Source organism: Homo sapiens, chromosome 12 (genome assembly GCF_000001405.40).
Source record: "Homo sapiens chromosome 12, GRCh38.p14 Primary Assembly".
NCBI lineage: Eukaryota > Metazoa > Chordata > Mammalia > Primates > Hominidae > Homo > Homo sapiens.
Genome location: NC_000012.12, coordinates 16236934 through 16253396, shown reverse-complemented (window position 1 = coordinate 16253396; position 16463 = coordinate 16236934). Strand labels below are relative to the sequence as shown.

General features: G+C 36.0%; 1 protein-coding gene and 1 long non-coding RNA gene across 2 annotated transcripts in view; one reads left to right on the top strand and one right to left on the bottom strand.

Annotated features, from left to right (window-relative positions):
• LOC101928362 (uncharacterized) overlaps nucleotides 1–16463 on the bottom strand; it is a 169017-nt gene that overhangs the window by 23129 nt on the left and 129425 nt on the right. The window contains exon 5 of the long non-coding RNA XR_001749028.1: nucleotides 8374–8566. This is a non-coding gene — a long non-coding RNA (uncharacterized LOC101928362). The remainder of the gene's footprint in view (nucleotides 1–8373; nucleotides 8567–16463) is intronic.
• SLC15A5 (solute carrier family 15 member 5) overlaps nucleotides 1–16463 on the top strand; it is an 89201-nt gene that overhangs the window by 24289 nt on the left and 48449 nt on the right. The window contains exons 4-5 of the mRNA NM_001170798.1: nucleotides 8597–8817; nucleotides 13530–13716. Coding sequence (NP_001164269.1) covers nucleotides 8597–8817; nucleotides 13530–13716 — 408 coding nt within the window. The remainder of the gene's footprint in view (nucleotides 1–8596; nucleotides 8818–13529; nucleotides 13717–16463) is intronic.

The following is a 16463-nucleotide window of genomic DNA, read 5'->3' as shown; positions in this document are numbered from 1 at the left end:
AGCCCCATATCAGACATATGTTTTGCAATTATTTTCCCCCATTCCATATGTTGCCTTTTCACTCTGTGGATTGTTTTCTTTGAAATGCCGACGTTTTCATGTTTGATGTCATCCCATTTGTCTATTTTTAATTTTTTTGTTGCCTGTGTTTTATTGTCATGTCCAAGAAATCATTGCTAAATCCAGTCTTCTGAAGCTGTTGCCCTATAGTTTCTTCCTGTAGGAGTTTAATGGTTTTAGGTCTTTAATTTATTTTGAGTTAATTTTTGTACATGGTCTAAAGCAAGGATCCAACTTCATTCTTTTGCATGTGGATATCCGATTTACCCCGCCCTATTTGTTGAAGAGACTGTCCTTTCCCCCTTACGTAGTCTTGGCACCCCTGATGAAAATTATTCGCCAACATGTGCGAAGGTGTATTTTTGGGCTCTCTACTCTGTTCCATTGGTCTTATATCTATCTTCATATCAGAACCTTGTACTCTTAATTGCTGTTACTTTGTAGTATGTTTTAAAATCAAGAAGTGTGGGACATCCAACTTCAATTTTCTTTTTCAAGTTTGTTTTCACTATTAATATTCCATATGAATTTCAGGAATTTTTTTCTATTTCTGCAAAAATGCTATTGAGATTTTGACAGGGATTGCATTGAATCTATAGATCACTTTGGCTAGTATGGACATTTTAACAATATTAAGTCTTCCAATTCACAAGCTCAGGATATCTTTCCATTTATTTGTATATTCTTCAATTTTTTTTAGTAAAGTTTTATAGTTTCCATTATACAAGTCTTTCACCTTCTTCGTTAAGTTTATTTCTAAGTATTTATCTTTTCAATGCTATAGTATATGGGAATGTTTCCTTAATTTGCTTTCAGATCAGTCATCGTTAATTATAGAAATGCAACTGATTTTTGAGTGCTGATCTTGTATTCTGAAACTGCTGAACTCCTTTATTAATTCTAATGACTTTTGTGTCGAATTCTTAGTGTTTGGTACATATAAGATCATGCCGTCTGTGAACAGAGGCGCTTTTCCTTCTTCTATTCTGATTTGTATGCTTTTTAGTTTTTTCTCTTGTTATTTCTCTGTCTGAAACTTTCAGCACTATGTTCAATTATAGTAGCAAGAGTGGGCATCTTTGCCTTGTTCCTAATCTTAGAGGAAAAGCATTCAGTCTTTCCCATTGAGTATGATGTCAGCGGTGGGATATTCATATATGACTTTTATTATGTTAAGGTAGTTTCCTGCTATTCTTAGTTTGTCTAATGTTTTTATCATGAAAGGGTGTTGAATTTTCTCAAATGTTTTTCCTGCATCCATTGAGATGATCATGTGGTTTTTGTCCTTCATTTTGTTAATGTGATGTAATACATTGATGTAATACATTGATTGATTTTTGTATGTTGAACTATTTTTGAATTCCAGGTATAAATTCCACTTGTCTGTGGTCTATGATCCATTTAATGTGCTATTGAACTTGGTTTGTTTCTATTTTATATCAATATTCATCAGAACTATTGATCTGTACTTTTCTTGTTATGTCTTTGTCTGGTTTTGGTATCAAAGTAATGCTGGCCTCAGAATAGTTGGGAATGTTTCTCTTTTTAGAGTCTTTGGAAGAGTTGAAGAAAAACAGGTGTTAATTCTTCTTTAAATGTTTGGTACCGTTCTCCAGTGGATCCATCTGGTCCTGGGCTTTTCTTTGTTAGGGGGTTTTTGATTACTGTTTAAGTCTTTTCACTAGTTTTAGGTCTTTTCAGATTTTTTATTTTGTCATGATTCAGTCTTAGTAGGTTGTATGTTTATAGAAAGCTATCCATTTCTTCTAGATTATATAATTTGTTGGCGTACAATTCTTCCTCTATAATCCTTTTTATTTCTGTGACATCATTTGTAATGTCTCCTTTCATTTCTAATTTTAATTATTTGAGTCTTTCCTCTATTTTTCTTAGTCTACATAAGGGTTTGTTAATTTTTTTAATCTTTCCAAAAATCAACATGCTTTCATTGAGTTTTTTCTACTGTTTTCCATTCTCTATTTTGTTTATCTCTGCTCTAATCTTTATTATTTCCTTCTTTCTTCTGACTTTGTGTTGTTTGTTCTTTCTCTAGTTCCTTGAGGTGTAAGGTTAAGTTATTGATTTGAGATCATTCTTCTTTATTAATGTAAACATTTGCCATTATAAACTTTCCTCTTAGTATTTACCACTCTTGCTGCATCTCATAAGTTTTGGTATAGTGTGTTTTTGTTTTAATCTGTGTCCAGATATTTTCTAAATTCCCTTGTGATTTCTTCTTTGTCCAATTTGTTAAGAATAGGTTGTTTTGTATTCATTTCTTGTCAATTTTTAGAGCATTATATTTTGGGAGTATTAACACTTTGTCCATGACAAAAGTTGCAAATATTATTCCCTATTTATCACACATATTTTTAACTTGCTTCTTGTGTTATTTTTTTATGCACAGGGTTTTCCATGTGTTTGTTTTGTCTTTCATTGGGGCTTATGTTTGTAATAAAATTCTTCAATATTCTCCCTTATTGCTTCTACATTTTGAGTCATGGTCAAAAAGTTTTACTCACTTTCAGGTTATAAAAGAATTAACCCACATTTTCTTTTAGTATTCATTTTATTGCCTCTTTTCTTTACCTCTCTGACCCCTTCATAAATTATGTTAGAATATCTTTTAAGAATAAACCCAACTGTATCTTTTTTCCATATTATTACCAACTTATCCTAATCTTACTTATTAAAAAGTCTATGTTTTTCAAACTGATTTTAGACGCCATCTTCATTGCGTACTTTCGCTTGCACTTCTGGAGTTTCTATTCTGTTCCATTGTTAAGTCTCTCTATTCATCTTGTTTAACTCAGACCTTAATTCGTAACATATTTTTCTTTTCCTGCTATTTCTCTATACAGCTACTACCAATAGTAATGCAATGAGTTACATTTTTAAAAATGAAGCGCATTCACCAATGTTATTTTATTTTTATCATATACCTACAATGTAGGTGGGAAGGGCACCTTTTGCAGACTAGACTCTGGATGCTTTGCCTCTGCTCCTGTAGCACTCTGAACACATCTTTACCATTTTATTTACCACATGTTGAAATTATCTATTTATAAACACAATTAGAAATTCCTGTGTCTTATAAATACTTGAATATGGTAAGTGTTCAATCAGTGTTTGTTATTGTTAAGCTGAGCACAGAAACTGAGACATAATATAATTAAATGACTTGCTCAAGATGTCACAGAAAAGAGCTGAAGTGGAACCAGAACCCAAGCCTATTTTTCTTAGGCTGGAGCTCATTCTATTACACCACATACTGAGGCAGTGAAGCATTGAAAATATTATACACAGAAGCCTCTGCCCTGTTTCTGAGAGCTCTGTGGCCTGTGGACCACACTTAGCAGTACATGTCCTCCTAGTAGTCTATAGAATGCGGTCAATATGCAAAAAGTCCCCAATAGCAAAAAAAGAAGAAAATGTAAAGTATATGATTTTTCCTAAAAACCACTTTGGCACTTTCTCAAGTGTCCAATTATCAAATAATTTGGAGTTTTGTGAATACGCACACACATATGCATACATATGTATACATATATTCATATATACTATTTTTGGATTCAAATTTTCTAAATAACTGTTCAGCATCCATTCATTTGCTTCTTAATCTACTATTTGAATATACATTCATCTGAATCAAGAAATACAATTCTCTTTCAACTAATACAGATCTATGTAATAAACTCTGTTTACTGCCAGCCTATTGCAGTCCATATATTACACATTTTAACATGTGATAAGGTAACCTATTTTTGGATGTTAACAAGAAAAAACTTTATTAGCTACAGGAACAATTAGCATAGAAAATGCTCTCAAGTGGCTGACTTTACACAAGGCTCTATAAAATGAATATTTGAGGGTTGTGCTTTGTTTTGCTTGTTTTGTTTACTATTTCTAAGCTCACCCAACTATGATGAAGTAAAACTCTGTCTTTCCTTTAGTGAGGTGTGTAATCCTTATTTTGGCTTCTTTCTGATGACTAAATTGGAAATTCCTCAAAGCTGTAATTCAAAGCCACAGGTGACCTTAAAGAAATGATTTTTTATATGCTACCTTTTATTTTAAGGTAACTTTTCAAATGTGGACCATGCATTTCATTATGTTTAGCTGTCAAGCACGGAATTCATTTGCATTTCTTCCCACTGCTATAATTTTGAGAACTGGCAGGTGACCAAAGAAGAAAAAATGTGCATCTACCATCTAGAGTGCAATGTAGGCTTTTTTTTAATTATAATTAAGTAGCATAGATATTCATGATTAGATCAAGGTCAGAAGAGTAGAATATTAGAGCCAAGGACTTAAAGGTACAAAGAATAGGAAAACTGCTTTCTAAAAGTTTTTTAAAAAATAGTAATAACTACAATCTTTAAGTTTTGCAATAAAACACTTAAAATAGCTCATCTGTTTTATTTTAAAATGTGCACGCCTGGTGTGTTTGCCATGCACATTTAAACCAGAGCTTGAAGTCTCAGTTGAATTTTTCATTTCAGTATTTTCGTCAACTTCCCATTTCTGCTCCTGGTACAGAAAATCAATTTGAGAACTGTAATGATAATGGACTTTTTTAAAGGCTGAGCCTACATGACACCCAAAATTATTTGCATAGAAGGCGTGAGTTTTCTATTAAGTCTAATGGATTAATCCAAGGAAGTGGTATGATGTTTAGATGTAAATGTTTTCAACAGGTATCCATCCTAACATTCAGTGGTAACTACAGTTTCATGGGACAAGGGCCACTCCCTTTGGGTAGACAGATTATTGTATAGTTCCTTTTCTTGGACTCTCTTGCTGACTTACTGGGTCTCTCTCAGTCCAGTTGATCAACTTAGGTTTATTACTTCACCACTTTCTTTCCCTCTTACAACCCATCTAGCACATTGTCTACCTCTTCTCAGTCTCCTTAACCAACCTTTCTCCTGTGATAACTTCCTAACGGATGTGCAGCCCTAGGATTCATTCCAGGGACACTGAATCTTCTCTTCCTGCCCTCTTTCCTTAACTAATCTCTGGACTCATGGCTTTTAATGCCATCTAATACACCACTCAATGTTATATTGACCTCTCTCCTGACCTTGAAAAGCATATATTCTACTTCTTATTTGACATATTGACTTGGTTATCATCTAATAATTCCTCAAACTTAATTTGACCAAAACACAACTCCTGATTCAGCTAACTACACACCAGCTTCTTGTTTTCTCCCTCTCAATAAAGTCACCAACACCCAGCTGTTTAAGGGGGAAAAAAGTAGACATCTTCAAATTTTCTCACTTCTTCACCCCTTTCCCACATCAGAAAATTTTACTGATTGTTCAAAAACCATCCTATTCTCTTCATATCTCTTCATGGCTACTACTGTACTAGTCTGGGTCACCACTATCTCTTGCCTGTTCCCCAGGTCCCTAAAATTCATTATCCATGCAGCTACTAGGGTTCCAGGGTAACTATTTTAAAATATACATCATAAGATCTCTCTAGTATACTTAAAACTTCTTAATGGTTTTCTATAATATTGTAGATAAACGTCAAGTTCCTTACTTTGAGCTATATGATCTGACCCCCCTGACAACCTCCTAGACCTCATCTCCCCGCAATCTTCCCTCTAACTGAGCTCCTGCCTATTGGCCTTTATGCTTTCTGAACCCGTCCTGGCTAATTTCTACTTCATGATAAGCCTGGCATATGTTTCCTACGTCTCTTTGCCTGTTTCTAGTCATTTAATCCTCAGTTCATACGTCAACTCTCTAGGAGGTCTCCTCTACCCCACAATGGGTCTCTATCATAACAGCCCACTGTGTTTTCATCATAGAACTTGCCTAATATTTTCCTGCTTTTAGGGTCTCCCCCACCACAAAGAAGAATCAGGAGTTTGTAGGTACCGTTCACTGCTATATTTTCAGGGCCCAAAACAGTTTTCTGACTCCTAGTAGATTCTCAGTAAGTACGTGGAATAAATCAATGATTGTAATGACATTTCTTTGGCATCAATTATATGCCCTTGCTGTGTTAGCTAGAGTTTTAGACCTCATTCATATGTTCTCATTTCTTCTTTCTTGACCATTTTGTTTTTGTTGCTTCATATCACTATATCTGATACAATTTTATTTGTTTAAACAAGTTCATTTTTCAAAGTACATATTCAACTGAAGCCAGTGCTTCACATAAAGCATGGTTCATGGAGCAGTGCTGGTCTCTGAACTGTTTGTTGCCAGTATACAACAAAATAAATACAGACACTAAGAGAAAACATATAGAAATATTTATGGACAGTGACATCTTATGTCTGTTGAATCTAATAATAAAAATATCAGGGCTTATATTTTGTATGTCTTTATTTTATGTTTAGATATTTCATTTTTATTGGATTTCACAAATGAATTGACCACGATAGTTGAGATATTTTTTTAAAAACTCATTTTTAACACAGGTTGAAAAGCACTAATCTGAACTACCACTACCTCTCATTAGAAATAAAATGATGGCAATATTTAATAATTTAATAAGATTGCAGGTATCAATTTGTCATGTATTAGAAGCAGATCCAAGTTTATCTTGCAACAAATAGTGATTGTTTATACAAAAAAACGGTTAGTGAGTTTAAAATATATTATATTTAATACAAATTCCTGAATTTTAAAAATTGGGGGGAAACTGGGGAAAATATCTTTGGAAATAATCTTTCATCCTGCAAGTACTTATCATTTAATAATCAAACCTATCTGAAAGCATAAAGTTAATTTGGATCAGTGTTCATAATAACCCTACTATCTACCCAGCACCACTCTGCAAGAGTTTAGCAGAGAACAGGTTGATGAGTAATAGAGACAAGATTGTAAGGAAATGTCAGGAAGTTAAGCCACCCAGCCCAGGCTTGTTCGAATTCAGTCTCCAGACTGTTCATCAACACATTCTCTGTTCTCATCTTACCTAAACCTTAAGTAAACTAATTGAAATAGCTAGGAAAGTCTCATAATAGAGCAGTTCATTCTCTAATAATAAAGAGCAGTCCCTATTACTTCTTTCCTAAGAGAAACAAATCTTGGCCTCTCACAGTGGCTTCTGTCTTCTTGGCCTTACCAGTACCTGGGCCTTCATCTACTTCAGGCAATAGTGACTAAGAAGAGACAAAAGTGACCATAGATATAAGCCTATCTCCTGTTAGCAAGTATCCCAACATACTCCCAGATGACCTAAACACACTTCACAAAGGCCACCAAAGAGCCACAGCTGTAATCATTCTTGGTCACTACCAATTTGGGCTGGATTTGATTCAGTGACTTAGAGGTGAAAGGCTCCATATTCAATTACCAGGCCCCCAGCTTCCTCAATTAATCAAAGGCTGACATAATGGGTCTATTACAACTCTTGAAGAAAAGACCAGATCAAATCAATCTAACCACTTTATAGCTATAAAAATATATTAATACATATTCTTTATTTAAACATAAAAACCAAGACTCTATGGCATATAAATGAATTTCATTAGAATGCATTTTATCTAGAATTTTATTATAGGAAACTTGAACATAATCAAAATGACTTTCAAACTATACTTTGAGTTTCTATAGCAGCCTTCTTTGGAGAAACACAAACATTTTCACATTTATTATGCCATTTACCTGGCAACAGTAGTTTGGTGTCTACGTAATTTCTGGGGGGATTTATCTGGTCAAAGGGAGTGCTATGAAAACCTGTAACTATCATGACAGCACAGCTGAACTGCTGCCTAAACGGGGGTCTCTTATCTGTCATTGTATCAGGAAATCCTAATGGAGTCAAAGAAAAGGTAGGAACTAAAAGATCATAAAAGAAGCAACAATGAGGTTGCAAATCACTAGCAGTAAGTGACTGCTGCCATCTGAAGCAATAAAGCGCTTCTGATCGTGCAGCAACAGCCATGTAAACCTAGAAGAAACTACTGGAAAAGTCAAAAGCCAACTAATCTAATCTGAACTCTTAATGACACTATCAACATGCATAAAATCATTTAGAGAGTTCATAGTCTAACCTTATTTCTAAATCCAAGGATAAAGTCAAAGCAGAGATTACATTTCCCTTCATCTCCATGTCACAATAAGAAGCCACCCTCTACCTGCCAAGTAAAATGAGGATTATTTATATAATAATTTATATGAAAAAATAGTACTAGTTCTTTGTGTTAAGGATGTTAAAGAAAGTTCAGTTTATTGTATTCATTAATGCATTAAAGTTAGAGACTTCTGAGAGATTCTGAAGTCCTTAACTTTGGCGTATTATTTTGTCACCTTTCTTTCCCTTTTAATATGTTTTCATTGATCTTACCTTTTACACTTTTGACATCAACTGCTAGGTGCCACCATGGGCTGGTCATCAGGATGCCAGAATCACTGTCAGAAGCGTGGTCCTTTGAGTCCGACCCCTTGGGTGCTAAAAACTTTCTCACTTCACTGCCGTGAATCCTTGAATCGTTATCTTTCTGATCAGCATCTTGAAAAACTGGAGAACAATTCCTATACTAATACATAATATCTCCGATTACTTGCAGGTTGTTCTCTCCTGACAGGCGTTGGGGTGTTGGTTAGTGCACTGAAAACATGCCACCCGCAATACTGCCATCTTGGCAGAGACGTGACAAGCCAGTTAGACCATGCCAAAGAAAAAAATGGTGGCTGCTACAGTGAGCTCCATGTAGAAGACACAACATTTTTCCTCACCCTTCTCCCTCTCTTCATTTTTCAGCTCCTATACAGAATGTGCATTATGCAGGTAAGGACAGGCGATGAGTACTACCCCAACAACAGGAAAGTGATTGCATGTCAACAGTGCAAGTCAAGGTGAATTTTCTCCCCAACGAGCGCTTTCCATATATGTCGGCAGGCAGTTATCCCCACAGAAACTTCTCATCATTACAGGCTCTGATTTCCAGAGCTAAGCGGGGTCAGGCAGAGGTATACCTGAGGAGACCCTGGGATGTGTTTCTTTTGTGGAGCTATAAATGTCTGTCAGTAGGTGCAGACAGTACTTCAGAATGCATAGTCGTAAGGCGTAAGAGCAGTGCACGAACATATCAGATCTGTAGGCAATTACCAAACTTCCCTTTAGCCAAAGGTTTTGCCTTCCTCCCTCATTAAACCTTTAGAAAGTGGTACTAACGAGTAGCTAAACTGACTGATTTGAGTACCACCTCCACTGTACTCTTAAATATAAGTACTAATGAGCAAGTGATTCTCTCCCCACCCACTCTATTAGTTCCTTGGGGAATTCGTTCCTGTGCTGTGAGAAAATCAAGAGAAAATACAAAGCCCAAAGTACCTTTTATAGATATATGTGATTTTAAATTTTTTTAATGTGGTTAGAGTTAAAGACTAACTTATTTACTGAGAAAAATAAATGATTACAAAAGTATTTGAACAAATCTGGGACTTTGTTCATTGCTAACTCCCAACTTGGAATTTAGAAGACTCATGAATGAGTTACATTTAGAAATCATAGAATAATAGAGCTGCAACAAAATTTAGAGATTAACTTCATAAACTACTTTATTTGTTAAACAGGAACCTTAGGCTCAGAAAAATTAAGTGACTTTCTTTTGGTAGAGGTGAGGCACCGTAGGTCACAGTTAATAGTAGTGTAAGGGAAAGCGGAATCTGTCCTCTGCCTCTCAGTACAGTGCTTGCCCCTCTAAACCAGGGGTTAGCCATCCACTATCTGAAGGCCAAATCCAGTCCACTATTTTTGTACATCCTGTAAGCTAAGAAGATTTTTACATTTTTATATGTTTGAAAAAAATTAAAAAAAGAATAGTATTTTCTAGCACATGAAAATTATATAAAATTTAGCCCAGCGTGGTGGCTTACACCTGTAATCCCAGCACTTTGGGAGGCCGAGGCAGGCAGATTACCTGAGATCGGGAATTCGAAACCAGCTTTACCAAAATGGAGAAACCCCGTCTCTACTAAAAATACAAAATTAGTCAGGTGTGGTGGCCATGCCTGTAATCCGAGCTGCTTGGGAGGCTGAGGCTGGAGAATCGCTTGAACCCAGGAGGCGGAGGTTGCGGTGAGCAGAGATCATGCCATTGTACTCCAGCCTGGGAAACAAGAATGAAACTCCATCTCAAAAAAAAAAAAAAGAGAAAAAGCAAAGAAAAATATATAAAATTTAAATTTTAGCGTCCATAAATGAAGTTTTATCAGAACATAGCCATGCTCTTTGTTTTGTCGTATCTATGTCTGCTTATGCACAAAAATAGCAGAGTTGAGTAATTGCCACGGAACCCATATGTGGACATATTTACTATCTGGCCCTTTACAGAAAATTTCTTGACCTCTAGACTAAATAATGCATGAAAGCTAGTCTGATTTAGAAGATTCAAACTCCCTCTTGACTCTATAATAGCAGTAGGCACAAAAACAGAATACAGCAGAAATATTACCCATATATGTAAGCATTAATATAATAAAACATCTTAGATTGGAGGAACCGATAAACAGTACAAAATTACTACATGGCCCATAGCTAACCTCAAAAGCTTATGTGCAAGTAGCACAGAATACCAGTTCCTTACCTTCATAATGCAATGACACCTGACATTTCTTTCCACTAAGTTGGACCCTTCTTTGCACACTGTCATATATTTTTTAATTGAACATAAATTACAATAAATTTTGATAAACTAATTTTTAAGCATATCACCAAATCTAGATGTGCAACTTATTGCAAAGCACAGAAACTAATAGTTACTGATCACCTATTAAGTGCCATAGCTTCTAAAAGATGGCTTCACAGTACGTAATTTAATCCCCACAGCAAGGCTACATGGCTATTACTCTCCTAAATCTGAGGCTCAGAAACTAAGTTGCAACTTGTTCCCAGTCACCTTGCTAATGTGTGGCAGAGCAACATCCCACCTCAGGATTAGTGTCAAGCGCCATGCTTTATTATCCTCAATATCACTCTTGCATTGGGTTAAAAGTCCCTGATACAAACTACATAGATTCCAAAATTATATACAGTAATGTTATGCTAGAAACTTCAAAGAAAATGCTTAGATCATACTTCACCAGGGAGGCAGAGGAATTTCCAATAGGATAGGCTGGGTTTAGTTTTTTGCCCCCAGATGAAATAATCACCAGTACAAAGGCAATCAAAGTACCAAGAATAAAACATCATAGAATTTCATACATATTTTAAATTTAGTAGCCATTATTGACCTTCAGTTGCAAGACATACATCTAAAATATGTTGATATTACGGCTGATGAGGTTGCCATTTGACATTACTGGCCAGTCAAAGGTGAGAATGAATCTCTATTGACAGCAATTATTTCTGAATACTCAAAGGCTTGGATGAAATAAAAGTATTTAAAATTTTACAGGGCGATGATTTCAGAACTTCAGGCAGAGGCAGAAATGATTTCAAGCTTTCAAGACACTGCAGCCTTTTCTAAGATTAGGCAATATATTAATATTGCTTCACTAAAGATTAATAGTACATTTGCCACATTATTAAGTTAACATATTTCTGTGTCTGTGATTCATGCCGATAATAACTTTATTCCTATTAACAATAATTCTCATTTGAAATCAGTAACAGAAACTTCCAAGTTGTGCTGGGAGCCTTTCAGTCTTAGAGTTGTTCCGCTGCCAGCACTTTTTGTTAAAACACATCATTCATTTTCCTCCGATGGGGGATCCATGCTTAATAATTTTATTGAAGTAGGGCAGAACTAACTAATGTTCCTTTAACTCTTGCCATCTGTACTCAGCCAAAACAATCCTTGTTTACTATGCTAAGGGTCAAATTAAAGATTGGGAGATAAATGATCACCAGGACACGTTGTCTACAGAAAGAATCTCAGTGAAAATGTGGTCTTGTCCTGTGTTTGCGCAGTTAACATGGCAATAGGCTCATTTTACAATTAGTGGACTTGGTAACAGCTGTACTGACACCATAATACTGATTCTCCATATATACCCTCTTGAATTGTACAATTGAGTCTAGAGAAGGGGTTAGCAAATGTTTCAAATGAGAAGTTATCATCTGGATATTTGAGCGAGGCTGCTCTCCCAGGATGGTGGTGAAGCAGGGATCCTAATGCAGCTCTTGTACCATACGAGTTTGGAGGATCCATTCCTCAAGAAGACTTGGTTGACTTTCTGTCTATGACACTCAATAGCTTTGTGTACCACTGGGAATTAAAGAAATACTATGCGCTACTAAAGATCATGATGGGCCGGGCACGGTGGCTCACACCTGTAATCCCAGCACTTTGAGAGGCTGAGGCAGGCAGATCACGAGGTCAGGAGATCGAGACCATCCTGACTAACACGGTGAAACCTCATCTCTACTAAAAATACAGAAAAATTAGCCAGGCGTGGTGGCGGGCGCCTGTAGTCTCAGCTACTCGGAAGGCTGAGGCAGGAGAATGGCGTGAACCTGGGAGGTGGAGCTTGCCGTGAGCCGAGATCACACCACTGCACTCCAGCCTGGGTGACAGAGCGAGACTCTGTCTCAAAAAAAATAAAAATAAAAAAGATCATGATGAAGCTGATGAAGCTGTAACAAAGCTCATGTACTAGAAAAGTGAAGAGACACCTCTTTCATGTGACATCATCCCTTGGTTCTGATATCACACTCGGTTGCCAAGAGGATTGGAATACACTAAGAGGCTCCAAATCAGTGTTAGAGTTTTAGTTAGCATTGGGGTTATTTTTAAAATGAAGAAATTCTAACAATACATTGAGGATTTGGGGTGGAGCACAGGGTTTTTTTTTAAAAAAATTGTATCTTTCACTTTATCATGCAAACCTTTTTCATGTTGTTTCCTTTATGGAATTCTAGCATCACGTAATTAGTTTGAAGGGAGGGCAAAGACACAAGGTTTTTTTTTCCTCCCCCTGTTACTTAGTTCACATTGGAAACAAAGCCTCTCTAAATAGCCCCCTCAAAGACAGCCTACAGCAATTAACACGTGTCCACATTGGGCCCCTCTTCTTAGGAAAAAGTCGTTTCTATATTGCCACCAAACTAGATGCTTTTTAAAGAATCTATTCTAGCCTCATTTTTTTCATCAGGGTAAAAACAGACGTCTTTAGTATTTTTTACTGGTTTTATATTAGTGTTCATGAAGAAAAGTCATTTTGCTTATCTACAGAATTTAAGTTATTTGGCTTTTTATGTGTCATCTTAAGCACAAAATTGGGGCCATCATTACTTTTCATAGAAAAATTAAGAGAGACTAAATGATGATAGAGTATTTCATGAGTAATGAGTACTATTGTCAATAGACTAGACAGAGCTCCTACCACCACAGATGAAGACCCTTTATCAGCTCATAACTGGGAACTTGAAAAACTAGGCAACATCCAGCTCATCCATCACAGAGTACGTGCAAGAGGGTAGGCCTCTGGTGGACGATGCTTTCTTCAAAGTTAAACCCCTGTCTTAATGCATGGATGTTTCCCTCTCGAATACAGATTCCTTCAGGATATTATCTGCAAACTATGAATTCCAACCTGAATTTGGATGGATTTCTTCTGCCGATTGCAGTAATGAATGCCATCAGCAGCCTACCATTACTAATTCTGGCTCCTTTTCTGGAGTATTTCAGCACCTGCCTGTTTCCCTCTAAGAGAGTTGGATCATTTCTGTCAACATGCATCAGTAAGTACAATTTAACCATTTCATGCGAATCGTTTGAAACTTTTTTAAAACAACATTCTGCTAAGATCCGAACTAGCTATATGCTCCTGAGTAGTGTCAGATTTTGATAATATGGAAAACAGGTGAATTTGTGACTGATAACACCCATCTTCCGAAATCTCTAGCCAGACATGTGTCCCATCTTCTTCCTATCCTTTTATGTTTATGTCTCCTCAGAAGACACACCTGATATAAAGAGATGGTGAAATTTCCAGCACTACCAAATGACCTATCCTTAAAGTCAGGCAGTCCTTACCCCTTAAGTCTATGTCAAATAGGTTCTTAAAAATAAACAGTTAATTAATTCCAAAAGATCATTTTAATTTCTGAATCGGTAACAAAATTGATTAAGGATTAGTATTGTAAGTTACAGCTTCAATACAGTACTTTATCAAATAGTGCAATTTAGGATATCATTCTCAGAACATAATCAATAGGACATAAAATGAAATTTATCTGATTGAAATGGGAGAGAAGGATGGAAGTCCATTCTGATCATATTCTCCTCTGCCTGTCTTCCTTCGACACCATCAGGGAACAAGAGAACAGTGGGGGTACAGTAAAACAAGTTTCAATCTAAGAATCAGAGAACTCTGACATTGAACTGCTCCTGGTGACTTTGAAAAAGCCACTGAAACTTCCTTGTTTTAGTTTGCTTATTTTTTTCATTGAGGGACATACCCTAGATAAATTTTGGATCATTTTGTTCTCTAAAACTTTTGAAATCACTCAGGATGACATCAGTGCCCAGAACGTAGTCCAGACACATAGCAAAAGCTCTATAAATGTTAGCTATTATTATGAGTCATTATGTGCAGGGGACACATTTAATTGTTTGGTGAGCATAAACAGAAAGCAAAGGAAGTTTGAAATTCTTAAGTAATATCATGCAATGGTAACCTAATGTCTTATCCTCTACTTGAGAAACAATTCTATTGAAATAGTCAAGGTCAGGCATATAGAAGATTCTCTTCTCTCGGTTAACCTGTTCTTATTTTTTTTTTTTTTTTTTGAGACGGAGTCTCGCTCTGTCGCCCAGGCTGGAGTGCAGTGGCGCTATCTCGGCTCACTACAACCTCTTCCTCCCGGGTTCACGCCATTCTCCTGCCTCAGCCTCCCGAGTAGCTGGGACTACAAGTGCCCACCACCACGCCTGGCTAATTTTTTTTTGCATTTTTAGTAGAGACGGGGTTTCACTGTGTAAGCCAGGATGGTCTCAATCTCCTGACCTCGTGATCCGCCCGCCTCGGCCTCCCAAAGTGCTGGGATGACAGGTGTGAGCCACCACGCCCGGCCAACCTGTTCTTATTAAGAGACTTAGGAGACTATGGCGGAATCTTCTAGTCACAGGTATTTTTTGTTGCTTCTCTGTTTACAGAAGTTACATTTCATTGTGTGTGTTTCCTGTTCTTTATCTACCAGATCACTCAAGATCACATCATGGAGTGGGTTTATTTTTGGTTAGAACTAAAAGTGACTAAACTCACCTTAGTTTATTTTATCATCTTCAATTATAGAGGAGGACTTTAGTATATAACCTTTTGAGATGTATTTCTTAAGCCAGTAACCCCATCTTTATTTATTGTAATAGGCTTTAGCAAACTATAAATCTTTAGGTTTTGATAATCCTTAAGACTTAAAAAGTGCTTTTCTGTCTGCCAATGTAGAAATCCAAAAGCCAGCACATATTTGGTGAATGTCCAGGATTAGCAGTAAAATAAAGATAAAAAAGGAAAAGTAAGACATGGTTTGTATATACCTTCAGCAAGTCCATGATTGAAACATAATGCATGCAGGACAAAATAGGAGTAAAATCATATTGTGAAATGCCAAAAATCTCAGCAGTTTTGTACAGTGTCATGAAACACCCCAATCTGAGCTTCCAAATCATGCTTAATTACCACAAATTTTAAAATTTTGGGTACCCTAGAAAAATATTCTATACAACATGGCTAAAATAAATTCTTCCTGAGAATAAGAAATCTTAAATTAACTTTAAAGTTAAGCAACTTTCTTTTGGACAATTCTCTACTCCTGCATATTTGAAATCACATCTCTTCCTAAAGAAGAGTACTTTTTTTCTGGATTTAGAAAAGTTAGACAGAGTTATTTAGTATATTGTTTGATGTTGTTAATGAATTAAATATTCCCCTTCAAGATTGGTAACAAGACCTATTGCACAGGAAAAAGGAAAAACTAGACTCACTTCAAAAGAAACTAAGCTACGTTCCACTGGGTACAGAATACTGATTTCAGTTGTTTCTGAACCCCACTCCATTCATTCATTGATTTGCATACTTGTACGTTTATTTGCATAACGTTTTGCTATGGGAATATAAAAGTGCGATGATATGCGTCTTTTAAACTAGATATTTGCTTAAGTTTTCCATATTCTGGTTATGATTATGAAAGATTAACAAGTTTTATCAGGACATAAAAGTACCAACCTGGGGTACTTTTTGATACTAATTTACATAACTGAATTAGTCTAATATTAAAGTTACCTTTCACTTTGAACTCAAGTGCCTGAAAATGTGGGTGAAGTATATAGGTATATGAATTATGAATGAACATATATTTGTGAGTTCCTAATTTGAATTTAGGAACCTTCATACACATATTACATTTAATCTCATGATAAACCATCATTTAATAGATCAGGGTCACAAAGATAGTGTCATTTGAACAGGTTTTCTAATTTTAAGGGC